The 27874-nt window shown below is 40.0% G+C and overlaps 2 long non-coding RNA genes and 1 pseudogene across 2 annotated transcripts in view; 1 reads left to right on the top strand and 2 right to left on the bottom strand.

Annotated features, from left to right (window-relative positions):
* Positions 1–14031, top strand: part of LOC105374894 (uncharacterized) — a 154998-nt gene extending 140967 nt beyond the window's left edge. The window contains exons 3-4 of the long non-coding RNA XR_007059418.1: positions 11404–11483; positions 13928–14031. This is a non-coding gene — a long non-coding RNA (uncharacterized LOC105374894). The remainder of the gene's footprint in view (positions 1–11403; positions 11484–13927) is intronic.
* On the bottom strand, positions 92–27479 carry LOC107986560 (uncharacterized). Its single transcript, XR_001743934.1, has 3 exons — positions 27421–27479; positions 1551–1673; positions 92–463 (listed from the first exon to the last, which is right to left on the bottom strand). It is a non-coding gene; the product is annotated as an uncharacterized LOC107986560 (long non-coding RNA).
* On the bottom strand, positions 14798–14916 carry RNA5SP202 (RNA, 5S ribosomal pseudogene 202; annotated as a pseudogene).
* Positions 27480–27874: the final 395 nt, after the last annotated feature.

Here is a 27874-nt window from a genome sequence, read left to right as displayed (position 1 = left end):
ACCAGCAATAAATTTAAAAAGTCATTATCAAAAAGGTATACTTGAAATAGAAACAAAATATAAATTATCTAGGAATAAATGTAACAAAAGGTGTTTAGGACTTTTATACAGAAAACTGTTAAATCTTATTGGAAAAAAAGAGTGAAATAGAGAGTGATACAATGTTCATGGATAAAAAGACTCAATATCAACTGTTTTGTACCATCTCTCTCCTCCTCCACTGATGCCCTTGCATTTCTATTTCACTGGAAAGAATGCAGAAGTAAGAAAAGAACTTCTACTACAACACATAAATATTAAAACTCCAACTAATGGAACTATATATAAAAGCTGTCACATATTTTTTGTTGAATGTAACATTTGAGCTTCTTTCTGTCAGAGGCAATGGTGTCCACTTTGGATACAGCTTCCTCTGTAATTCTTTAGCCTTGTCTTCAGGCCAGGCCAGTTGTAGCTGACCAGTCTGTGGGCAGAGAAGAAAGCATTTTCTATGATTGCTCAATGTAGGACCTGGCCTCACATACTTTCTTCCTTTCATCCACAGACATCAAGACAGATATGTGTGTTTGGACTTGGACTGCCACCTTGCAGAGGGAGCTATGACACACTTTCCTCTGTATTTCTTAACCCTTACAGCTTTGCCATTGCTATTTTCTCAGGTCCATCATGACTAATCTTTGATGACCTTTATGTATGTTTACTTCAGTTTCCATCAGAGGCCTGAGACTCCCACATCACCCCTCATTTCCCTTGCTTAAATGCTCACATAGCTCAGCACATTCTTTTATGTCTACCTCCCATTCCTCCACAACAGATGCAACCCTGGCACTGTGTCCTCTGAAACTCATGCAGCAAAATCCTTTATATTTTACATCTCTTCTCTGAACATTTTTCACTTTCTTGCTCTAAGGAAACCTGGATTCCCCCTGAGGACCCTGTTTTTCCTGCAGTCCTTTAAGTGGCGGCTATTTTCTCTCCTACAGCCCTTTAATTCCTGGGTCTGGAGATGGCCTGGGTGTCTTTCTTACTATTCATTTTTCTCTCAGACCATTCTCCCTTCTTCTCCCTCCCTAAAATATTGCAGCTTTGAATATCCTATCTTGTCCCTATCCTATCTTGACCTTGACTTCATGGTCATAGTCATTTAGTGACCTCAAGGGTAACCCTATTGACCTCAAGGGTAACCCTATCTTATTTCTTATTAATTTTAACTCTGGGTTTTCTGTTATTCTATCCAACATTACCCTTGTCTTAATTTCTAATGATTTAAATATGCATGTAGGTAATATGTTTTACACTCTGAACTCTCACTTTCTTGACCTACTCTCCTTCAGTGGCTTTGTCCTTCATCCAATCTTGTCTGTTCATTCCTAAGGACATAGCTTAGACCTTGTCATTACCAGTAGCTCCAGCTCTAACATTTCTGGCTCTCTGACTTCAGGCACATGGTGGAATTAAAGTTTCCCCCACTGAAGTCAGTCCTGGCCATGAGACTTTTCTTGGCCAGTGAAATGGACAAAAAAAACAGCTTTAAGATGCAGAGCCTTTACCTCACTTCCTCTTGCCACGATGACCAGCAACATTTGAGGTAATAGCTGTGCTGTCAGTCTGGGACCATGAGTGTTCATTAGTGATGAATAGTGTCCTTGTGCTAACCTGGTTGGACTTGTACCCTGAACAAGAAATAAACCTTTGTTATTCAAAGTTACTGAGAATTTGGGGTTGTTTATTGCTGTAGCATTGTGTGCTTGCTTCCCTTTCTCTGACCATTTTTCCTATCTTTCCATATAAATTTCTTTAGTATCCAGATCCCAACAAACCTCTGAATGTCAAGAAACTGAAACTGATACATGTGAATTCTCTTTGCATTTTTTTTTATAAATCCAAAGCTATTCTAAAATAAAGAGTTTATTAAAATTAATGTAAGGAAGTAATGTTAGCAAGATGGTGGATTAGTAAGCTTCAGGCCCTTGTTTTCCCCAGAAACACTAAGAGAATAACAATAGCAACAAGAAGAACAAACTCCTAGAGACTGGCTAAAATAACCGTATAGAAGCTCTGAAAATTAGTCAAAGATCTATTGCAACCAATGGAATACTTAATGAAGAAAAAGCCACATTCAACACGGTAGAAAATTTCATGGCTTTTTTTTTTTTTTTTTTTTTTAAGACAGAGTATCGCTCTGTCTCCCAGGCTGGAGTGCAGTGGCACGATCTCGGCTCACTGCAACCTCTGCCTCCCAGGTTCAAGCGATTCTCCTGCCTCAGCCTCCCGAGTAGCTGGGATTATAGGCGTGCACCACCATGCCTAGCTAATTTTTGGATTTTTAGTAGAGACCGGGTTTCAACATGTTGGTCAGGCTCCTGACCTCATGATCCGCCCACCTTGGCCTCCCAAAGTTCTGGGATTACAGGTGTGAGCCATCGCGCCCAGCCGAAGACTATTATTTTAAGTGAAGTAACTGAGGAATGGAAAACCAAACATCGTATGTTCTCACTTGTAAGTGGGAGCTAAACTATGAGAATGCAAAGGCATGAGAATGACACAATAGACTTTGGGGACTCAGGGAAAAAGGGTAGGAAGAAAGTGAGGGATAAAAAGATTACAAATCGAGTTCTGTTTATGCTGCTTGGGTGGCGGGTGCACCAAAATCTCACAAATTACTGCTAAAGAACTTACTTATGTAACCAAATACCACCTGTTCCCCCAAAAAACTGTGGAAATAAAAAATAATAATAATTGTTTCACTATTAAAAAAAGTTCTCTCTTCTAGTTACTTTTTATTTTTTTTGACAGAGTCTCACACTGTAGCCCAGGCTGGAGTGTAGTGGTGTGATTTTGGCCTCCCAGATTCAAGCAATCCTCATGCCTCAGCCTCCCGAGTTGCTGGGATAACAGATGCATGCCAACACGTATGGTACTTTTTGAATATTTTGTAGAGATGGGGTTTTGCCTTGTTGCCCAGGCTGGTCTTGAACTCTTGAGCTCAAGTAATCTGTCTACCTCAGCTTCCCAAAGTGCTGGGATTATAGGCATGAGCCACTGGGCCTGGCCTCTTCTAGTTACTTTGAAATATATAATAATTCATTACCAACTATAGTCAGCCGACTCTGCTATGGAACATTAGAACTTATACCTTCCATCTAACTGTATGTTTGTACCCATTGACCAACCTCTTTTCAGCCCCACTCCCACTCACATACTCTTCTCAGTGTCTGGTATCTATCATTCTTCTCTCTACCTTCATGAAGTCAACTTTTTTAGTTGAGTAAGTACATGTGAATTTGTCTTTTTGTGTCTGATTTGTTTCAGTTAACATAATGACCTCAAGTTTCATTCATGTTGCTGCAAAATACATGACTTTATTCTTTTTAGTATTCCATTGTGTATATAAACCATATTTTCTTCATCCATTCATCCTTTGGTTCTATTTCTTGGCTACTCTGAATTGTGCTGCAATAAACATGTGAGTGCGGCTATCCCTTTAACATACTGATTACTTTTCCTTTGGATAGGGGCCCAGTGGATTGTATGGTAGTTCTATTTTTAGTTTTTTGAGAAAACGCCATACTGTTTTCCATAGTGGTTGTAGTAACTTATATTCCACACCAACAGTTTAAAAGAATTTCCTTTTCTCTGTATCCTTGCCAGCATCTGTTATTTTTTGTCTTTTTAGTAATAGCCATTTTAACTGGAATAAGATAATATTTCATAATAGCTTTAATTTGCATTTCCCTGATGATTAGTGATTTGAGCATTTTTTTTCATATATCTGTAGGCCATTTGTGTGTCTTCTTTTGAGAAATGTTTATTGATGACCTTTGCTCACTTTTTAATAGGGTTATTTGTTTTTTGTTTTGTTTTGCTTTTGTTTTTTATTGTTGAGTTGTTTGAGTTTCTTATATATTCTGGATGCTAGTCCCTTGCTGGATGAATAATTTGCAAATGTTTTCTCTGATTCAATCGGTTGACTCTTTACTCTATTGACTGTTTCCTTTGCTGTGCAGAAGCTTTTTAGTTTAAAATAGTCTCATTTGTCTATTTTTGTTTTCATTGTGCTTTTGAATTCTTAGCCATAAAATATTTGCCTAGACCAATGTCCTAATGTGTTTTCTCTCTGTTTTCTTCTAGTAGTTTTGCAGGTTTTAGTCTTACATTTAAGTTTTTAATTTATTTAGAGTTGATTTTTGCATATACTGAGACAGAGGGGCCCAATTTTATTCATCTGCATATAGATATTCAATTTTCCCATCACCATTTATTGAAGAGGGTGTTCTTTCCCCAATGCATGTTCTTGGCACCTTTGTCAAAAACCAGTTGGCTGTAAATTTGTGGATTTATTTCTGAACTCTCTATTCTATCCATTGGTCAATGCTTTGTTTTTATACCAATATCATGCTGTTTTGGTTACTATTGCCTTGTAATATATTTTGAGGCACACAGTGTAATGCCTCCAGCTTTGTTCTTTTTGTTCAGAATGGTTTTGACTAGTCTGGATATTTTTTTGTTCTGTATAAATTTTAGGATTGTTTTTCTGTTTCTGTGAGAAATGATGTTAGTATTTTGATAGAGATTACATTGAATCTGTAGAGTGCTTTGGGCAGTATGGTCATTTTAATAATATTAATTCTTCTGATCCATGAGCATGGGATGTCTTTCTATTTGTGTCCTCTTCCATTTCTTTCATCAGTTTTTGTAATTTTGCTTGTAGAGATCTGAAAGTACCTCATTTATAGAGGAAAATGTTCTCCAAGTTCAATGAATCCCAGGATACATATGAGTATATTTTCAAATGAACCTAGTCTCAATGTGTATATAATACATGATAAGCATGTTGCAATTATCTCTTGGGGAAACAAAAATATCTAATTAGGTTGGCAGGTACCCAGAATTGGTGTCTTCTGAATTGGCCAGTGATAGTTAATGGATCCGACGCATCTTGAAACACTTATTTGGCATATGTGGAATCATCATAGTCTCAGAAATGATTATTGGCTTTGTTCTGATGGCTTTCAATTCCATATTCGTTTCAACTCCTCTATCAGAACACATATTTATTTATCTTTTCTGCATGTGTTCCCAGAATATTCTGTTTAGCAAAGAAGGAATATCAATAAATCCCTCTGTTTTAGTGAGTTTACCAAAGAGCAAAATAGCTGGTCTATTGGCCAAAAATTGTTGGTGTGATTTATTTTTGTAGTTATTTTCAAGCATATTTTGCAGGGGTTGATTTCCAATTGTAAAAAAGTCTCGATTTTGAGTTAGCCATGAACTTGTGAACCCACATTACATAAAATCCTTGTATTTATACCAAGCTTTGAAATTTCCTAAGAATTTCCATATGCATTTTTGCATTTAATTCAATAATAAATACTGTGTGGCTATTGTTGATGCCTTTTTACAGAAAAAGCAATGAATATGCTTTTGAAAAAAATTTTCTCTGACTCTTGAAAATGTGCTAGAACTTTCAAAATGTGTGAAATAAATTATACTAGCATTTCATCACACTCACAACACAGAACATTTCTGATCACTGAAATAAGGAGAGTGTGTTTTTCCCCACCAAGGCATTCTCCAGTTTTCTGTGAACACTGACTGGGTGTCCTGCGATTCAGTTCAGTTCTGACACTAACCAGAGTTACTGCAGACCCCACAGGTTAAGGGCTCAGTCCCACAAGGCTGCCCGTCACTTCAGAAACCAATCTTAAATCCCATGTTATCACCTTTACTTCTGACTGATAGCTACAAATCAGGGTTCCCACGACCCTTCTTTGGGTTCAATAATTTGCTAAGAAGGCTCACAGAACACAGGGAAACACTTGTTTACATTTATTGGCTTATTATTTACTAAAGAATACAAATGATAGAGACAGATAAAGAAGTACATAGGGTAAGGTATGTGGGAGGGGTGCAGACCTTCCATGGCCTTTCCTGGTTTACCACCCTCCCAGCACCTTCACGTGTTCACCAACCTAGAAGCTCTCCAAACCCCATAGTTCAGGGATTACTACGAAGGCTGCATCATGTAGTCATGATCAGTTATTAACTCAGTCTCCAGCTCCTCTCCCTTTTCTGGAGAAAGAAACGGAGGGAAAAAAAAGAGGATGAGAGGGTGGGACTGAAAGTTTCAAGCTTCTAATCATGGCTTGGTTTGTCTAGTCACCAGCCCTCATGCAGAAGCCCAGGAAAAGTCATCTCATTAGATCAAAAGATGCTCCTACCCCCCAGGAAATTCTGAGAAACTGGGAGCTCTGTGTCAGGAACTAGAGGCAGAGACTATATATATACATATATGTGTGTGTGTGTGTGTGTGTGTGTGTGTGTGTGCTTTTCATGGGTTGCACACACCTCCAGCTGGACCAGATCTGGGGGTCATAGAGCTGTTCAAAGTTTGAATAATTCAGGCTATTTCAGGTCAGCTTTGTAAATCAGGTCAGTTTAGTGATTTAAGTTCCTCAAAAGTTTAAGCTTTTCACCTATCTGGCTTCAGTTGGTTTCTTGTGCAAACAACCACTATTGAATATCTGTCTAGACAAAGTGTTTAACCTAAAGACTGAATGAGCAGCCTCTATCTATGGCCATCCCACTCTGAACATGCCTGATCTAGTCTGAATTACCAGCCTCTGTGCTCTACCCACCTACCTCTCTTTCAACTCCACGGTGGCTCCCTTGAGGCCATCTGATGCATAGGGTTAAGTGGAAAGACAAAAACCTTAATTTGACTTTGCTGCTGGAGAGGCTCCTGTTGTCCAGCAGAGATAACCTAAAGGAAGTTGCTTAAAAAAGACATGTGGCCACAGGCTGTCACTTTGAAGTCACTGCTTATAATAACATTAGTTTGGGCTGCAGAAGCAGTTGACGTTTTCAGCTGAGGAGGTCTAAATGGCTCTCAGTGAATTTAGATTGCAAAACACAGGCATAAAAAGCCTCACTTTCATCTCTGCCTGTAGATAAACTAGCTATAATTGGACTTAGTTTCTCTCTTATAGGACTTTGTTGAAGGTAGTCAGAAGTGACAACACAAATAAGTATTCTAGACCTCTTACGGGTAATGCCCTTGGCTGGGATGTGGTATAACCTCATAATACTTCACATCACAGCAGGGCTAAAACCGAGGTAATATGTGAAATACTCACCTCAGGTGCAAAATTTAAAGGGGCACAGAGAATGTCTCAGTAATCAAGATAAATAATATTTTAATGTGATTTTTTTTAAAATAAAAATTAATGCAAAAATATGATGAATATCAAAATTTTAAATAAAAACAGTATCAGTGTTGTTGATTTTTCCTTTTGCCTTTGGCTCCAAGGTGCTTTGGCATGGCATTGCTCACAGTTGATGGTTTTGCTAACTATTTTGCAATTGAAATAATAGGAGTCACCAACTTTCCAAACTGCGATATTGAGTCCTCACTGCCTTTTGCTTCACAGCAAAAGTTTATTGAAATAAGCTATCTTCAGAATCCCATTCCTGGTGCTACATGATATATTAGAATTAGGTTCAGTTACACAGGCCAGAAAATCCAAAGTAGTAGGATCTTAAGCAAGATAGAAGTTTATTTCCCTTTCAGGTAAATGTAGGCAGGCCAAGGTTGCTGTTGCAGCTCCATGATTAGCAGGGATCCGGGTTCCTTCTCTCCTAATTCTCCATTATGCTCAATATGTGGCTGCCACCTTATGGTTCACAAATGTTGCTTTAGCTCCAACCATTACATCTATAGTCTAGCCAGCATGAAGATACAAAGTGGAAAAGAGGCAAAGCGCACCCACACTCACACCATCATTGTCTCTAAGGAAAGCTCCTACAAACTCTATATAACACACGCTCCCATTCCGTCTACCAGAACTATCAAAGCTAAGTCTAGCTGCAAAAGAGGCTGGAAAATGCAGTCTTTGTTCTGGGTGGCCATGTGCTCAGCTAAAAATGCTGAAATTAGTATGGAGAAAAGGAGATCAGATACTGTAGACAGCCAGCAGTCTCTTGGAAATCATGAAGGATTTGGTTGTATCCATTGCGTCAGCTTTGACGGGGCTCCTACACAAAAGATCTACCCCTATGCTGGTCAAGCAATCACTGTCACTCCCAAATGTGTCATCACACTGTGCTTTGACCACAGTTTCCGTTTGTTAGCTCTGATTTAGATATATTAAGATCTACTATTGGCTACATTATTAAACCCATGAGGTGAGAAAGAGATTTTGAAATATTAACAGATACTTGTTTTCCTCTCTATATATCTTCCTACCTATCAGCTAGCTACTCTTTTTTTTTTTTTTTTTTTTTTTTTTTTTGAGACAGTGTCTCACTCTGTTGCCAGGCTGGAGTGCAGTGGTGCAATCTTGGCTCACTGCAACCTCCGCCTCCCGGGTTCAAGTGATTCTCCTGCCTCTGCCTCCCAGGTAGCTGGGACTACAGCTGCCCGCCACAGGCCTGGCTAATTTTTTGTATTTTTAGTAGAGACGGGGTTTCACCATGTTGGCCAGGATGGTCTCGATATCTTGACCTCATGATCCACCTGCCTCGGCCTCCCAATCGTTTTTATTTTCTTACTTTAGAGAAGGGATAAAATAGTAGAATGCAAAAGACAAGAAAATAATTCTTGCCTTTTGGATTTCAAAACCATCAAAGACTCATGATCCATTTGGAAGACTATATCACCAGCCAGAGCTAGACTCCCCCCAATAGCTCCTCCCCATTTAGGCCTAGATACATATTCCTGGACCGAGGGAAGGAGAAGAGTCAGAGAGGAAGCCAGAGGATTAGATGCTGCTGTGAGTCCCCAAGAAGGGGCAGTATTGGTGGTTGGAGAGATGGAGATGGAATTACCTGGATAAGTTTAGGGTCTAAGAACAGGGGACACTTGTGTTCCTAACCCCCATGGAAGAGCCCAGAGGGCCTAAAATAGGCCTGCCATGTCAGGTTTCTGAGACGAAGAGATATTTGTATGGCATGTCCAGTGCATTCATCAGGTTATATATATATTTATATATGAGATTTATGCAGAATTGGCTCACTTGATTATGGAGGCTGAGAAGTTCCACAATCTGCTATCTGCAAGCTGGAGACCTAAGACAGCCAGTAGTATAAATTCTAGTCCAAGTCCAGAGGCCTTAGAAGCAGGTGAGCTGATAGTGCAAGTTTCTGTCTGAGGGAAGAAGGGTGATATCCTAGCTCAAGCAAGCACGCAAAGAGGAAATTCTCCCTTCCTCTGCCGTTTTGCTCTATGCAGGCCCTCCATGGAATGGATGATGCCCACCCACCTTGGGGAGGACCATCTGCTTCACTCAGTCTACTGACTCAAATGTTAATTTCTCCCAGAAACACCCTTACAGACACACCCAAAATAATGTTTAACCAGATATCTAGGCACCCTGTGATCCAGTGAAGTTGACACATAAAACTAACCATCATACCCAGACCAAAGAGTCTGTGTTTCCTGCATACAGACTTTCTATTCTAAGTGCTGACAAGGTGCTGTGGAAGAGTTTGATCAGGGAGAGACAGAATGTGATGGACATTTAAAAATAGCACTGATGGTAGAAGCCTGAGCATGTTTAAATACTGCTGGGAAAGTCCATCCAGAGGAAGAGCTGAAAACCAAAGAAAGAAGGGGTAACTGAAATAGATGCGACAGTCTGGGAAGGGGATTAGAACCTAGAAAGGGGGCCGGGCGCGGTGGCTCATGCCTGTAATCACAGCACTTTGGAAGGCTGAGGCGGACAGATCATCTGAGATCAGGAGTTTGAGACCAGCCTGACTAACAGGGTGAAACCCTTTCTCTACTAAAAATACAAAAATTAGCTGGGCGTAGTGGCAGGTGCCTGTAATCCCAGCTACTTGGGAGGCTGAGGCAGGAGAATCGTTTGAACCTGGGAGGCAGAGGTTGCAGTGAGCCGGGATTGCACCAATGCACTCCAGCCTGGGTAACAGAGCGAGACTCCATCTGAAAAAAAAAAAAAAAGAAAAGAAAGAAAAAAAAAAGAAAAGAACCTAGAAAGGGGGTTAGTCTTGGGCAGAACTTGGAATCAGCCTTTCACTGTGATGAGAGGGTGACAGAAAGAATGGGGCAGTAAATCCATAAGTGGGGTGGCAGGAGTTAGGTGAATTCCCTGAGGAAGGGTATGCTGAGCAGAAGACAGAAGCTTTTGAGGAGGATGGAGAAGTTTGGAAATGACCAGTATGGAAAATGGGGGAGTGATGGCCAACTGCACACTAGAGTTTGGCAGGCCCAGGAAGAACTGAAGGAGGTGAGCATGAGAGGATGTGGTTGTCCCCACCAGGCTCTGTGGCCAGGGACAGGTGTTGAGGAGGCAGACACTGCAATTATTGGAGAGTTGGTGTCTGTGGCAGGTGTGAAGGAAGCGCAGAGTAGAACCCTGGTCCTCCAACTTGGCTGCATATGGGAATCACCTGGGGAACTTAAAAGATATACTGAGGCTTCAATCCCAATACAGACATTCAGCTTTAACTGGTCTGGGGTCCAAGTTTGAGGAGAACTGGGGTAGGGGATACTGGCAAATATGGCTGAAATTGATGGACCATGTCTGAGCTAGGGCAGGAGGGGTAGGCAAGGGTGCAAGAAGGCAGGAAATAGAGGGGCTGAGAGTGGAGGTCTCAATCAATGGGAAAAGAGTTTTCCTGCGATGCGATGTCCCAGAAATGCAACTGTAGTTACACCCTCAACTTCAGAGCTAAATTCTCCCAGGTATCTTCCATGTTTACCTGTGTAGACCTAAGGACAGGCTCCATTTGCATTCCAAATAGATCTCTTTCTCAGCAGTTTATGTGGATTTTGTGTGCTTTACTTTACATGACAGTACTAAACAAGCCAAGAGCAATTCAGATTTTAGACACGGACATCTCCTTCCACCTTCTGAGAGATGGTGAGTGCTGTGGACTGAATGTTGGTATCCACTCCTTGCCCCGTTCTTATGTTGAATTCTAATCCCCAATGTGTTGGTATTTGGAGATGGGGCCTTTGTGGAGGTGATTCGGTCATGAGGGTGGAGTCCTCATGAATGGGATTGGTGCCCTTATGAAAGAGAGAGCTCTCTGGTCCTCTTTCCACCTTGTGAAGATACAATGGGAAGTCGGCAGTCTGCAACACAGAAGAGGGCCCCCACCAGAACATGATTATGCCGGCCCTCTGATCTTGGATTCCTAGTCTTCAGAACCGTGAGAAATAAATTTCTGTTGTTTATAAGCCACCCACTCTATAATACTTTGTTATGGACAGCACAAACTAAGATGGACAGACTCTCTTGGTGCCTTTGAGGGGATATGTTATTATCAGCAATGTTGTTTGAAGCAGTCTCTGATAAGGAATGCTGACCCACCAGGGACAAATAGCCCTATCTTAAGCAAACTCTCATCCCTATCTCCCTGCCTTAAACCCTTTTTCAGGTGCTGTGACAGCATCAATCAGGCCTTGGCAGGCGAGGGAGCCCTCTGAAGAAGCGGCCAGTGGACAAGCTGAAGACATGGTAGGTGGAACGTTTTTCATCACCCGCAGGGATGATATAAATTGTGTGGGCCTAGGGACAGCAGGTTTCAGATATGGCCATATTGTCTTTATTTATTATATGCTCCATTGATTAGAAATTGGATTCCAAACCCCTCAGGAAGTTGCCCTATTCCCTAGCTAGCTCTAGATCCAGCACTGCATGAGTGGTTCCACTGTGATAAAGCAGTAGTTCTCAAACTTGAGTGTTGTCTTACTCTGTTCAGGCTGCTATAACAAAAAATTGCCATTGACTGGGTGGCTTAAAAACTACAGAAATTTATTACTTACAGTTCTGGAGGCTGGAAAGTCCAAGAGCAAGGCACTGGCACATTTGATGTCTGGTGAGAGCCTGTTCCCTGGGTCATAGACGCACAGCTTGCTGCATCCTCACATGGTGGAAGAGGCAAGGGAGCTCTCTTGGGCCTCTTTTATGTGGGCAAATCCCATTCATGAAGGCAGAGCCTCCCAAAGGCCCCACCTCGTAATACCTCACATTGGGGATTAGGACTTAAACACAGGAATTTTGGAGAGATACAAATATTCAGTCCATAGCAAGCATGCATCAGAATCTTCTGTAGGGCTTGTTAGGGTATGGGTTACTGGACCCCAAACCCAGAGTGTCTGGTTTAGTAGGCCCAAGAATTTGCATTTCTAACAAGGCCTAGGGTGATGCTGATGCTGCTGGTCCAGAGACCACACTTTGAAAACCACTGCTGTTGAGAAAAAAAGTGGCATTCAAAGGATGGGGAAGCAGAGAATGGAACATCTTCCATTCAAGGGGCCATCTCAGGTGGCCCTCTACATCCCCAAATTAATCCATCAAACCGTTGCATCAGTGACAGCATAGTTTTACATGTCAATATGTGATACTGCAGTTTCTTAGTCTCTAAAGTTAAAGGCTTCCTGGTGGTGGTGACACGAGGACTAGGGGATTGCTGGGACAGGGCTAATGTGCACCTCACTCACAGCTAACCACTCATGAAGTGCCTCCATGGGCTGCACCCAGTCCTGGAGCCCTATGTATGTTATCTCTTTTATTCCTTACATGAAGCGGGTGGGGTTAAATCCCCATTTTGCAGTTAAGAAAACAGTGACACAAGCAGATGTAAGTAAGTAGAGTGTGTTTGCAGGTGAGTCCTGTATGCCTCTAGGCGTTGGCTTACTCTGGGAGGTGCTGCCCAGGATCTCTCAGCCAGTTAGTGGAGGAGTGGGCCTGCATGAGGCAGACTGACCCTGGCATCAGATCTCCTACCCATCTCCCCACCTGTGCTCACTCAGTTGCTGCCCCTTCACTCCCTTTTCTTCTGTAGAGACAAAGGGAAGAATCTGTCAGGAAAATTCCTGGGAGAGGGGGAGCTGTGCTTCTGAAGAAGGCAGTTGTTGCAATCCTAGTCTGCTTGCAACATGGTTGGTGGCACAGACCTTCCCACACCTCTATGCCAGATGTCTTAAGGATCAGCCCAAAGCTTAATGTCTCCAGGGATATCCACTTCCTTCCTAAGGGAAGATAGAGGTGCTTGAAAATGTAGGTTTTATTATTATTCAGGTATGGTGAGGCCAACAGACCAGGAGATGATGGCCATTGAAGAGATAGTTTATTACTCACAGTTCCCAGGAGGAGGGCGTACACTGGGCCACACAGGGAAGCATCAGGTCAGTCAGGAGGCAGAGGGAAAGGGGGAAGCTATGGGCAGAAGGCTTTATTGTGAGAAGGAACAGGTGAGGCAGGCTTAGGATTGGCTGGCTTGGAAAATTACAGCAGGCTCTGGGCCATAGAATTGCCTTAGTTGTCTGGTACCTGGCCCTGGAGTGACTGGGACTGGTAACTGGTGGCCTTGAGTGTGAGAGCCCAATAAAGGAGGTGGTTGGAGGTGTGGGCTCTGGATTGGTTGGCTTGAATGTGAAAGATGTGTTTGTAGGTGAATCCTGTACTGTCTGTGGGAACTGGCTAACTCTGGGAGGGGCTGTGTCTCTACCATCAGCCAGGCTCCAAGATGCCAAAATATCAAATACAGAATCTAGAACATTTGGCTATTCCAGAGAGCTCATGCAAAGATGGTATTAGGAGCTACTTTTCCAATCAACAGCCTCCAATACTGTTTTCTCTCCAGAATCATCTATCAGGGAAGAGACTTATAATCAGAAAGTAACAGAACAAAGAGGGCAGGCCACAGTTAGGTATAAGCAAGGGATTGGTCTTTCCTGGGGTGGACCTAAAGGGTCGCAGCTTTAAAAGCATCGATTGTTATTAGAGTGTTAACAGTAGCATCTCACGTGTGAAGGTAGGGAAGAACGAGACGAGGTCAGGGCCAAGACCCTGAAGGGGGCTGTGGACCCAGAGCATGTCTCATAAATCCCAAGTCAGATTCTGTTGACTCCTGGGACTTTCTGTTTGTTTCCCCCCTGATTTCTCCTTTTTTTCAGTTTACCCATGTGTCAGAAGCACCTGGGGAGCTCTTTGAAATTGCTGGGGCTGACCCCTGGCCACTGCTCTGCATCAGAATCCCCTGGAGGCTGGTGAAGCACGTTTCCAGGTGCCATACCCAGAATTTCTGATTCAAAAGGTCTGGGGTGGGGCCTGAGAATTAGAGCCTGTTCCTAACACGTTCCCAGGTGATGCTCATGCTGCTGGTCTGCAGCCCCTGGTCTGCGAGCCACTGACTAGGGATTCTAACTCAGTAGGTCTGGAGACGGTCCCAGGTGGTTCTGACCTGGTGGTATTCTGAAGTCCACACCTGGAGAAACACCGCCCTGAGACTGAATAAATTCTGTGATGAACATTCTCACTGTGCTGCTGCCGTGCAAGGGAGAACTGGCCGAAGAGTTATTTGGCCAGCTTGAGTGACGCGGATCCTGAGAGCGCTCCGGGGTAGGCAGTTGCCCCGGTTGGACACCTCGTCAGAGCAGCGCGTGGCAGGCCCCGGTGGAGGATCAATGCAGTGGCTGAACACCGGGAAGGAACTGGCACTTGGAGTCCGGACATCTGAAACTTGGTAAGACTGGTCTTTGGAACTTGCCCACTCCATTTGAGTGGAAGCGTGGCCTGATCACCCACGGCGTGCCTGTACTGGCACTTTGGTTTTTGTTTTTGACTTGACTTGAATTGCTTGATACTTTGGTTTTGGTTTTGACCTGGCTTGGATTTCTGGATACTCTGATTTTGGTTTTGATTCTGGTTTGGTGTAAACTGAAAAAGTGTGTGTGTGCCTTTTTTACCCGTTCTTTGTTTTGTGGTGTGAGTGTGGTGTGAGCTTGGTGTTTTGTCTCAGGGAAACATGGGTCAGACACAAAGTAAGCCTACAGCACCCGGTATTCCCAGGCGGTCTCCCATCCAAGTACTAACCAGGCCCGACCCTGCTTAGCTTCCGAGATCAGACGAGATCGGGGGCGTTCAGGGTGGTATGGCCGTAGACGTGGCTGGAAAAGGCCAGATGGGCCCCCCAAAGTGTGGGGCCTAGCCCAGGGGTCCCAGTTGCCTGGGCCTAGGAGTTTTTTCCGTGATGCAATATCATTCTGGGGTTTGTCACAATGTTAGAAACACAAAACTTGCCAGATCACCTGGCCTCATTTTGGGCTTGAAAAAAATGGGGTCGCCAAAGATAAAAAGAGTGTCCCCGAACTGTTAGCCCTCCTGAGGTTAGAACGCCTTAGCCCTACCCCCAATGCCCAGCACCGTGGTAACTGCTTTAGTTCCAGAAGTACAAAGTTTCAACATCCAAGGTATAAGGGTGACCCCTCTGTGAGACATTTACTCTTCTAAGAAAACTTAGTTCCTCACTCTTCAAAAGCTGCTTGGGAAAACTCAGGCAATGATGAAAGTGAGCACCAGCTTCAAACTTCAGCATGTCCCCAGGTTTCTCTCATTTGTCACATCAGCTAAAATATTACAGGGAATTTTTTTTTTCTTTGCGAGGAGAAAACTAACTTTGTTTTAGCCCTGTGATCTATAAATGCAAATAGTGGATTGGAGTCCATTTCCAGTGTAAAGAGAGTTGAGTGATACAAATGCTAAATGGAAAATCCACTTTCCAGTAGCTTTCTGTAGCCTGGACAAATGCATAATTTATTCTCAGATAGCTAGACTAGCAAACTCGCAACAGGGAGCGTCATGCCAGAATGCATTTGTGCAAGGAATCTGAATTTCAAAGGACGGCTTTGCCTGGAGAGACACCACCCAGAACAATGTGGGTTTAATTAAGGTTTAGAGCAGCGCTTTGTTCAGGTGGGGTTGATAGGAAGGCTCCAGGTAAGATTTTACTTGGTAATAGATTATTGACCAATGGCAGGCAAGGGTGGCTGGTTTGCCTATTTTACTATTCATGACCTTGGGACTGAAGGAATCAGAATGACAGTAGGCGATATCTCTGTCAGCCTGTTTCTGGAGGGAAAGGCAGTTTTGTGGGTGGATAAATAGACCTCATTTGTGTTGCCTTTTGCACCTGGACCTGATGTTCTGTTAAAGCCAAGTGTGAGAAATACTTCTCTGAAGCAAAGGGCACGCTTGGGTGAGATTAATTAACCTGAATACCAAAGATCTACTGTGGCACCAAGATAAGGAGCAGTGGGCAGACCCTGCCCAAACAGAAGCAGAGTGAAGTCCTGGAGGGCAGAGCTGTGCTCTGAGAAGGCAGTGCAGGCTCCTTAGCATGAGTCAGTCACCCTTGGTTTGCACCCAACCCAGAAAGGGGTCTTGAGGAATCCCAGCGCATCACAGCCAGCCACGGGTCAGACTGAGTCGGGACAATAACAGGATTCCAGGGTCGTGGGTGCGGGGCAGTACCTTACCTGCTTGCCTAGGTGGAAAGGATATCAGGAAGAGCTTTGCGGGGTGAGGCTTTCTGGAATAAATGGAGTCATAAAAGATGCTATCAGAAGAAAGGGATAAGGCAGAGGTGCAGCTTGGTAGGATGGGGTGCAAAGAAAAATCCATTTCTGCATTCCTTTTTCCACTGACATTTCCTTCCCAGCTGCCCCACCCACAACCACACACAAACAGAACAAAACAACTCCTGGGGCCCAGTGGTTACTCCCCATACCTTCCTCCTAAAATTGCTCTCCTTGGCTGGGCACGGTGGCTCACGCCTGTAATCCCAGTACTTTGGGAGGCCGAGGCGGGCAGATCACTTGAAGTCAGGAGTTCGAGACCAGCCTGGCCAACACAGTGAAACCCCGTTTCTACTAAAAATACAAAAAAATTAGTCGGGTGTGGTGGCGCAGGCCTGTAATCCCAGCTACTTGGGAGGCTGAGGCATGAGAATCGCTTGAACCTGGGAGGCGGAGGTTGCAGTGAGCCAAGATCGCACCACTGCACTCCAGCCTGGGCTACAGAGTAAGACTTCGTCTCTAAATAAATAAATAAATAAATAATTGCGCTCCAAGAAGTTTAACACCAGTAATTAAAACTTTGGGAAGATTTTAGTTTAGGTATTATCTCCCATTTTTAAGATATGGGTGTCTAGTTACCCCCGTATTATTATCAAAAGGACTGTTCTTTCTCCATTCAGTTGCCTTTGCCCCTTTTTCAGTTGACTATATTTGTGAGCGTCTATTTCTGGGCACTTAACTCTGTTCCACTGATCAATTTGTTGATTATTTTACCAGTATCATCTTATCTTCATTACTGTGGCTTTACAGTAAGTTTAAAGTTGGGGAGCGTATTGGTTAGTCTGAGCCTTTTGTCTTTCCATATAAACATTGAAATTATTTTTTCAGTATCCATAGAATAACTTGTGAGATTTTGATTTGAATTATGTTGAATTTATAGATAGAGTTGGAAAGATTTGGCATCTAAACAATATTGAGTCTCCCTATTCATGAACATGGAAGATCTCTCTATTTAGATATTCTTTGATTTCTTTCACCAGAGGTTTGTACTTTTTTTCATATAGATCTTTTAAATATTTTATTATATTTATGTGTAAAGTTTTTTTTGGTATGTAAATAGTATTGTGTTTCAAATTCCAATTGTTCATTGGAGTATGTAGAAACCCAACTGACTTTTGTGTATTAATCTTGTTTTCTGCAACCTTGCTTGCTCATTTATTGGTTTCAGGTGGTTTGTGGGGTTTTTTTTTTTTTTTTTTGGTCAATTCTTTGAAATTTTCCACATTAGCATTCATGTCATTTGTGAACTAAGTTCTTCCTTCCCAATCCCAATATTGCTTTTTTTCTTTCCCTTTTCTTGTCTTTTTTTTCTTTCCTTTTTTTTTTTTTTTTTTTTTAATTTTGAGATGGAGTCTCGCTCTGTTGTCCAGGCTGGAGTGCGGTGCCACGATCTTGGCTCACTGCAACCTCTGCCTCCCAGAGTCAAGTGATTCTCTTGCCTCAGCCTCCTGAGTAGCTGGGACTATAGGCACAAGCCACCAAGCCTGGCTAATTTTTTGTATTTTTAGTAGAGATGGGGTTTCACTGTTTTAGCCAGTTTGGTCTCGATCTCCTGACCTTTTGATGCACCTGCCTCAGCCTCCCAAAGTGCTGGGATTACAGGCGTGAGCCACCGTGCCCGGCCTTCTTTCCCTTTTCTTGTCTTATTACATTAGCTAGGACTCTAAGTACAATGTTGAATAGAAGTGGTGAGGGGGACATCCTTCCCCTGTTTTCTGATTTTGGGAGGAAAGCATCCAGTTCCTCACCATTAAGTATGTTAGCTGTAGGCTTTTGTAGATGTTCTTTATCAAATTGAGGAAGTCCCATCTATTCCTAGAGTGCTGAGAATTTTTAATATGAATGTCTGTTGAGTTTTGTCAAATGCTTCTTCTGCATCTATTGATATGATCATATGATTTTTCTTCTTTAGCCTACCAATATGATAAATTATATTATTTGACTTTCCAATATTGAACCAGACTTATATAACTGGAATAAATCCCACTTGGTTGTGGTGTATAATTCCTTTTATACATTGTTAGATGCTATTTGTTAATATTTTGAAGATTTTTGCATCTATGTTCATGAGAGATACTGGTCCATAGTTTTTCTTTCTTGTAATGTCCTTATATGATGTCCTTATACCTATTCTGGTATTAAGATAATGCTGGCCTCATAGAATGAGTTAGAAAGTATTTCTTCTGCTTTTATCTTCTGAAAGAGATTATGAAAAATTGGCATCATTTCTTTCTTTAATGTTTGGTAGAATTCCCCAGTGAAATTGCCTGGGCTGGACACTTTCTTTTCCGGAAGGTTATTATTTATTTATTTATTTTCTTTATTTAACATAGGGATCTTCAGATTATCTGTTTTTTCCACGTGTGAGTTTGGTAGATTGGGCCTTTCAAGGGAGTGGTCCAATGTATCTGAGTCATTAAATTTGTTGGCATGAAGTTGTTCATAGTATTTTTTTTTATTATCCTTTTAATGTCCATGGAATCAATAGTGATGATCCCTCTTTCATTTCTGATATGAGTAATTTATGTCTTCTCTCTTTCCTTGGCTAGACTGGCTACAGGTTTATGAATTTTATTAATCTTTCAAAAAAACCAGCTTTGGTTTGATTAATTTTCTCTATTGATTTCCTGTTTTCAATTTCATTCATTTCTGCTCTAATTTTTGTTACTTCTATTTTCTGCTTGCTTTAGGCTTATACTGTTCTTTTTCTTTAGTTTCCTTTGTTGAAAGCTTAGATCCTGATTTTAGATTATTCTTCTTTTCTACCATATGCATTCAGTGCTGTATATGTAATTTTATTTTCAAAGCCAGAAATCATTTATTGAGTAATAGAAACTGAAGTAAATAACACTGCTTTCAGTCACTGAATCCCACAAATACTGAGTTGTATTTTTGTTTTCATTTAATTCAAAATAGTTTTAAATTTATCTTGAGACTCATTGTTTGGCCCATGCATTATTTATAAGTGTGTGGTATAATTTCTAAATAATTTGTTATTTTCCTTCTGTTTTTCTGTTATTGATTTCTATTTAATGTCATTGTGATGTGAAAGAATACTTTACATGATTTTTATTCTTTTAAATTTGTTAAGGTGTGTCTTATGGCTCAGCATGTGGTATATTTTGTTAAGTGTTCCATGTGAGCTTAAGAAGAATGTGTATTATGCTCTTCTTGTATGAAGTCAACAACTGTCCTATACATGTCAGTTAGAACTAGTTGACTGATAATGATATGTAGTTAACTAAATTCTTACTACTTTATGCTTGCCATGTCTGTCAATTACTGATAGAGGAGTGTTTAAGTCTCCAAGTATAATAGTGAATTTGTCTATTTCTCTTTGCAGTTCTGTTTTTGCCTCACGTATTTTGATGCTCTGTTCTTAGGCCCATATACTTTAAGAATTATGTCTTCTTGGAAAATTGACCAGTTTATCCTTTTCTAATGCTGCTTTTTATCTCTAATAGTTTTCCTTAAACTGTAGTCTGATTTGTCTGACATTAACGTAGCTACTCTTCCTGTCTTTAGATAAGGGTTAGCATGGTGTGCTTTTTGACATTCTTTTATTTGTAATCTATCTGTGGATTTACATTCAAAGTGTATTTCTTGTAGACAACATATAGTTAGTTTCTGTTCTTTGATCTGCTCTGACAATCTCTGTCTCTTAGAAGGTGTTTTTGAATCATTTCCACTTAAAATGATAATTGATACAGTTGAATTAATATCTACCATATTTGTAACTTTTCTATTTATTGTAGCTGTTTTTTATCTTCCCCTCTTTTTCTGCCTTCTTTGGTCTTAATTGAGGATTTTACATAATTCAATGTTCTATTCTCTCAGCATATCAATTATACTTCTTTAAAAAAAAATTTAGTGGTTTCTCTAGAGTCTGCAATACATTAATACATTTACAACTAATCTAAGTCCACCTTCAAATGACATCATACTGCTTAATGGGTAGTGCAGGTAAAGTATTCCTGATTCATCCCCTAGTACACTGCTGCCAATTATTTTATTTATCCACATGCTATAATCATCGAACACATTGTTGCTATTATTGTTTTGAGCAGACAGTTAAAAATTATGAATAAAATAAAGATTTTTATTTTTATTTATTCATTCTCTGACACTTTTTCATTCTTTACATATTTCTGAGTTTCTAACCTATATACTTTCCTTTTCTCTAAGAACTTTTTAAAAATAATTTTTTGCAAGGCAGATCTACCAGTAAAAAATTCTCTCAGTTTTTACTTGAGAAAGTATTTCTCCTTTGCTTTTGAAGGTGATACAGTTTGGCTGTGTCCCCACCCAAATCTCATCTTGAATTTCCATGTGCTGTGGGAGGGACCCAATGGGAGGTAACTGAATCATGGGGGCAAGTCTTTCCTGTGCTGTTCTGGGGATAATGAATAAGTCTCATGGGATCTGATGGTTTTAAAAAGTGGAGTTCCTGCACAAGTTCTCTCTCTTTGCCTGCTGCCACCCATGTAAGATGTGACTTGCTCTTTATTGTCTTCCACTATGATTGTGAGGCTTCCCCAGCCACGTGGAACTGTAAGTCCCGCTAAACCTCTTCCTTGTATAAATTGCCCAGTCTTGGGTGTGTCTTTATCAGCAGTGCAACAATGGACAAATACAGAAGAATAATTTTGCTGGATACATAATTGTAGGTTGGTGGTTTTTTTCTTTCAACACTTTAAATACTTCACTCTACTTTTTTTCTTGCTTGAATAATTTCTCAAGAGAATTCTGGTATACTTCTTATCTTTGCTCCTATGTAAGTAAGGTGTTTTTTTCCTCTGGTTTCTTTCAAGATATTCTCTGTGTTTGGTTTTCTGCAATTTGAATATGCTATAATTAGATTTTTAAAAACATCCTCATTGTGTTCTCTGCCCTTTTAATCTGTGGTTTGCTTTCTGGCACTGATTTTTGGAAATTCTCATTATTAATCCAAATATTTCTTCTGTTCATTCTTCTTCTGATATTCTTATTTATTTATTTTTTTTTCCCTGAGACAGGGTCTCACTCTGTCACCCAGATTGGTGTGCAGTGGCATGATCACAGTTCATTGCAGCCACTACCTCCCTGGGCTCAGAAGTTCCTCCCACCTCAGCCTTCTGAGTATCTGGGGCTACAGACAAACACCACCATGCCTGGCTAAATTTTGTATTTTTTGTAGAGATGGTGTCTGACTATGTTGCCCAGGCTGCTCCTGAACATCTGGGCTCAAACAGTATCCCCCTATGCTTCCTAAAGTGCTAGGATTACAGGAATAAGTCACCATATCTGGCCACTTACTATGTGTATCTTAACACCCTTTGTAATTGACCCACAGCTTTTGAATATTCTGTTCCTTTTTTCCCCCTTATTTTTTTCTGTTTACATATCAGTTTGGGAAGTTTCTATTAACATATCTTAAAGCTTATTGATTCTTTCCTTGCCAGTGTCCAGCATACTAATGAGCACACCAAAGGCATTCTTCACTTTCGTTACAGTGCTTTTATTTTCTAATGTTTTATTCTGATTCTTTTGTAGAATTTTTCTCCCTGTTTATATTGCCCATCTGTTCTTGCATGTTGTCCACTTTTTTTTTCATTAAAGCCCTTAGCACATTTAATAGGGTTTTTAAATTCCTGGTCTAATAATTCCAAAATCAGTGTCATATTTGAGCCACGTTCTGATGCTTGCTTTGTCTCTTCAGACAATTTTGTTTGTTTTGGTTTTGGTGTTTTGCCTTTTAGTATGGTTTATAATTTTGTTTTCAAAGCCAGAAATGATTTATTGAGTAATAGAAACTAAACAGGCCTTTAGTTTATGAGCGTTTATGTTTATATGGCTAGAAGTTAAGCTGTGTTTAACGGCTGCTGTAGCTGGAGGTGCTAGGGCCTTCCATTTCCTCTAGCCTTTTTGTTTTTGTGTTCTTTGTTGTCTTGGGATTTTCCTAGAGACTCCTTCTTAAATTGAGCCTTAGCTTTATCGTTCTTTCTGCTGTAATCTTGTTTATCACACAGGAGCCTGTTAATGTGGTGGTAATGTATGAGGAGAGGGAAAAATCTTTATAGTCCCATGATTAGGACTTAGTCATTTAGTAAGCCTGTGCCCCTGGGCTGTGACCCTCACAAGTGCTTCTCAGCTTTCCCCTTGTGTAGGTGAGATAAGAAGGTTAGAGGGAGATAGAGCTGGGTACTTCCTTCTTTCAAGGCTTCAGGTTTTGGTAAAGTAGTTTCCTCTGAGAAAAGGCCTTTGTTAAAGAGAACAGATCTCCCTGGGTATATTTAAAAATGGTTGCTTTTCCTCTCCCCTTGCTGGAAGAAGGAAGTGATTTTTCTTTGATCTTCACTTTGGTAACTTTGTTGTCTCTAGGAGGTAAAACTCATGAAATTATGAACTCTCCCACCACCCCTCCTGCCAGCCTGAACCCAAAAGAGTCTTTGAATTTCAAGCTAGTCCACACTTAGCTTCCATAAATCAGTCAATTACCACTTAAGTTTGCCTGCCCATTAGTTACTTACTTGCTCCAGTAGCTTCTACTTTAATTGTATCATTTAAATTTCAGTGTTCTTTTGTTGCTGAAATATAACAATATAATTAAACTTTGTATATTGACCTTATATCTATCACCTTGTGGAATTCACTTATTAATGCTAATGCATTTTCTGTTAATTTTTAAATGGATTTTCTATGTACACAATCATGTTATTTAAAAATAATTACAATTTCATTTCCCATTATTTCTAATTTTGATAGCTTTTTTTTTTTTTTTTTCCTTATTGCAACTACTGCCTATTATAATGTTGAATAGAAGTGGTGACTGAGTATCTTTGTTTCATTCTTTATTTGGGTAAAATCTTTCAATATTTCCCATTAGGTGTGATGTTTATTTTAGAGTTCTTTCTCTTCCAAGCTACTCTATCAGTTAAAGAATGTTCCCTTCTAATCCCACACTCAGAATTTTTTTTTTTCTTTTATCGTGAATGGGTGTTGAATTTTATCAGGTGCTTTTTTGGCATCTATTTAGTTGATTGTCCTTTTATTTTCTTAGTGTGGCAAATTACATTGACTAATTTTTTGAACATTAAATCAACTTTGCATCCTAGAATAAATCCAATTTGGACTTGTTTTATTATACTTTTGATTAGGTCCTCAATTTGGTTTGTTAATGCTTTATTTAGTATTTTTACACTACGTTATTAGGGAGACTGGCTTATAAGTTTTCTTTCTTTGCTGATTTTGGTATCAAGGTTAACTGGCTTCATAAAATGAAGTGGAAAGTGTTCCCTTTTTCTATCCCTGGGTGAGTTTGTGTGAGATCAGTGTCACTCCTTCTTAAATGTTTAGAAGGATTTCATTAGTGAAGAATTTGGGCATAGAATTTTACTTGTGGGAAAGAATTAAATTACAGTCTCACTTTCTTTCATACATGGATGACAATTCAGATTTTCTACTGCATCTTATCTTAGTTTTGGCAAGTAATGCTTTACCAGGAATTTGCCTATTTTATTTATATTTTGAAATTTATTGGTATGACATTTTTATAACATCCCCTTTTCTTCATAATATTGATAATTTATGTATTGTCTTCTTTCTAGCTCATTTTGCCAATGATTATCCATTTTATTAACTTTTTTTCAAACAAACAATTTTTCCTTTTGTTGTGTTTCTTTGCTGTATGCTTGCTTTCTATTTCATGGATTTCTGCTCTTATCATAATTATTTCCTTCCTTGTACTGTATTTTGGTTTCATTTGCTATTCTTTTTCTAACTTTTCTAGATCAACATTTAGATTATTCTTTTTCAACCTTTCTTCTCTAACACATGCATTTAACACTTTATCCTTCTGATTATGGCTTTAGCTATACCCCATATATTTAGACATGTTCTATTTTCATTAATCAGTTCAAAATATTTTCTAAGTTATATGGTGCTTTTCTCTTTGATCTATAGATTCTTTAGAATGTATTCTTCACTGTATGTGGAATCTTGGTGATTTTCTTTCTTCTTGTTTTTTATTTATTTTTTTGAGACGGAGTCTTGCTCTGTTGCCCAGGCTGAAGTGCAGTGGCACGACCCCTGCTCACTGCAAGCTCCGCCTCCTGGGTTCATGCCATTCTTCTGCCTCAGCCTCCCAAATAGGTGGGACCACAGGCGCCCGCCACCACACCCAGCTAATTTTTTATATTTTTATAGAGACAGGGTTTCAACGTGGTCTCGATCTCCTGACCTCGTGATGAACCTGCCTCGGCCTCCCAAAGTACTGGGATTACAGGAGTGAGCCACCGTGCCCGGCCAAGAATCTTGGTGATTTTCTAGCTATCTCTGCTTTTTAAAAATGTTTTAATTCTATCCTGGTCAGAGAATGCATTCTCTATTATTTCAATCCTCTAAAATTTTGAGAGACTCACTTTGTGGCTCAGGTCAGTTTTGGTGTTTGTTCCAAGTGCACTTGAAAATAATATATACCGTGGTTGTTGAATTTAGTATTCTACATATGTCACTATGCCAACAGCTTATTAATCATGTTCTTCAAGTTCTTTATATAATTATTGATGTTAGGCTTCCTCGTTCTATTAGTTACTGAGATGTATGTTAAATTAACTATGATTATAGATTTATATATTTCCTCTTTTAATTCTTTCAATTTTTGATTTACAGATTTAAAACTATATTTTGAAGTATATTCAAATTTAGAATCATTGTGACTTTCTAATAGATGGATCCTTTTATCATTATTAAATATATCTCTTTATTTTTAGTAATGCTTTCTCAATTAAGATCAACTTGTCAGATAATTGCATAGCTGTACTTACTTTCATTTGGTTGATATTTGAAGGGTATATCGTTTTCTATTATTTTACTTTCACACTTTCCAGATTCTTACACCTAACCATATATTAGGATGTCTCTTTTGTAAGCAGCTTAGTGTCGCTATTATTAAAAAATCCAATCTGATGATCATTGTGTTTTAATTGGAATATTTATTTAATTTACATTTAATGTGATTTCAAATATATTTAAATCTAAATTTATCATTTACCCTTTGTTTCCTATTTGCTATGTTTTAAAATTTCCTTTTTCTTCTCCTTTCTTGGCTTCTTTTGAATTAATGTTTTTATGATTTCTATTTCCTTCTGTATCATTCCCTTTGTGATTGGCCTAGAGAGTATACCATCCATCTGTATCTTATTATCAGTCTTCTATATATCATAATCTTCCTGAACAACTCTAGAACTTCACAACATTTTAACTCCTTTTATCCTTTTCCCAACTTTTATACTATTTAGTTATATATCTTAATTTGGTATATATTTTAAACCCCCGAAGGCATTATTATAGACTGAACTGTGTCCCTCACCCTAATAATTTACATGTTGGAGTCCTAACCCCCAACATCTCAGAATATGACTATATTTAGAGATATGGCCTTTAAAGAGGTAGTAAAGGAAAAATGGGTCATTAGGTTGGGCCCTAATCCTATATGACTGGTATGCTTCTAAGGAGAGGAGATGAGGACACGGACACACACACAGAGAAGACCATGTGAAAACACAGGGAGAAGACAGCATCTGCAAACCAAGGAGAGGGGCCTCAGGAAAAACCACCCCTACCCACACCTTGGACTTCCAGCTTCCAGAACTGTGAGATAGATTTCTGTTGTTTAAGCCCTCCAGTCTGTGGTACTTTGTTATGTCAGCCAGAGACAAATACAAACATCATGATTGTTATTGTTTTAAACAGTTTTATCCTCTTATTTATTCTATTGTTTCTTATTCCTCCCACATCATTATGCTCCCTTCAGGATAATTTTCCTCATTCATGGTAAATTTCTTCAGTATTCCTTTTTGAATTGGTATGCTTGTGACAAATTATTTTGGCTTTTGTCTGAAACATCATTACTTTGTTTTTAATTTATTAATTGGGAAAATGTTAATTAATATAGTATCATTTTTTAACAATCACTTGTGCCAAGCACTGTATTTAATATTCTATATAATTTTTTCACTAAATATTTACAACAGTCCAAGGAAGTAGAATTGGCCATCTCCACTTTACAAGTAAGAAAACTGAGATTGCCACAGATCTTTGAAGGTTACCTAGCTAGTAAATAACAACATTTGTCTTTATTTTGAAGGATATTCGCACTGGGTATTGGATTCTAGGCTGATAGTCATTTGCTTTTAGCATTAAGGATGTCATTTCATTATCTTCTAAATTCTATTTATCTGTTGAAAAGTCAGCTTTATCCACACATTTTATATACGTATACATGCACATGTATAGCAGGATACACAAGAAAGTGTAATAGTTACTGTTTCCGAGGACTCTAGGAGAGAATGCATTTCCCTGCCTTTTCCAACTTTTCAAGGCCACTCACATTCCTTGGCACATGACCCCATCCCTCTTCCCCCATCTTTAAAGTCAGAATGGCCAGTTGAGTCTTCCTACAATGCCAAGGTTTTGGTCCTGACGCTTCTGGCTCCCTCTTATAAGATACTTATATCTTAAGTATAAGAATATACTTAAGGATGCTTGTGATTACACTGTGATCACCTGGATAATTACATGGGACCAACTGCCCCATTTGCTGATCAGCCACATCAACCTCACCTGCATGCTTAATTCCTTTTTGCCATGTAAGTAACATATTCACAGGTTCTGGGGATTTGGCCTTGGGCATCTCTGAGGATATGGGGTGGTTGAGGTGTATAACACAGGCAAGACATAAAAGGTAGAAAGTTCATGCTGGGGGAGTGACACTGCAAAAGAATTTGGCAGTTTTTTCAAGATGAGCTGGAAGTGCAGCCTGTTCCTTTAGTGGCAACAAATCATGGATTCACTGGGTAAAACCAATTTCATACAGCCCCTGCCCATTGTTCTACCGAATATGTTCAGATTGTGGGTCCTGGTTTTGATGCCCCAAATCCCAATTACATAAGAGAAGGAACACAACAGATGCTAATGATAGGTTACTCCTCCCCAAGAATTACTGCATTCCCCTTTTCATCAAATTAAAGCTTATCTGCTGGAATGGACAATACCTTTGTTTCTCTGTGAGCCATGAGGGGCCATAGTCGGGTCTGAATGACTATGGACTGTGCATGCTGACAATATTTCTTCACTTCTTTGCTCTCCTCTGGAAGTGTACAAGGGTTTTTTGCCTGTTCAAAGGAGGACTTCATTGGTAATCAATGACTCTCAGCAGTAAATAATAACAGCCACAACTAACCATGAGTCTGGGATTGTGCCAAGTGTTTTACATGTAAGCTCTGCTGCTGGCCGTTGGCTCCCACGCATAGACCTCTTGTTTTGCCACTCCTTGGCCAGGGCCTCCCACAGTGCTTGGCTCAGAGTAGGTGTTCAATAAATATAAGTAATATGTGTAATGCTATCAACTTTTCACAGCATCTTTAAGATGCTATAATTCCCCTATTTCGTTGCCTGGAAACAGGCTCAGAGAGGCTAAATGACCTCTTGCAATCACAGATCATGTAC

This window comes from Homo sapiens, chromosome 6 (genome assembly GCF_000001405.40).
Source record: "Homo sapiens chromosome 6, GRCh38.p14 Primary Assembly".
NCBI classification, from domain to species: domain Eukaryota; kingdom Metazoa; phylum Chordata; class Mammalia; order Primates; family Hominidae; genus Homo; species Homo sapiens.
This window is presented reverse-complemented; position numbering and strand designations above follow the sequence as displayed.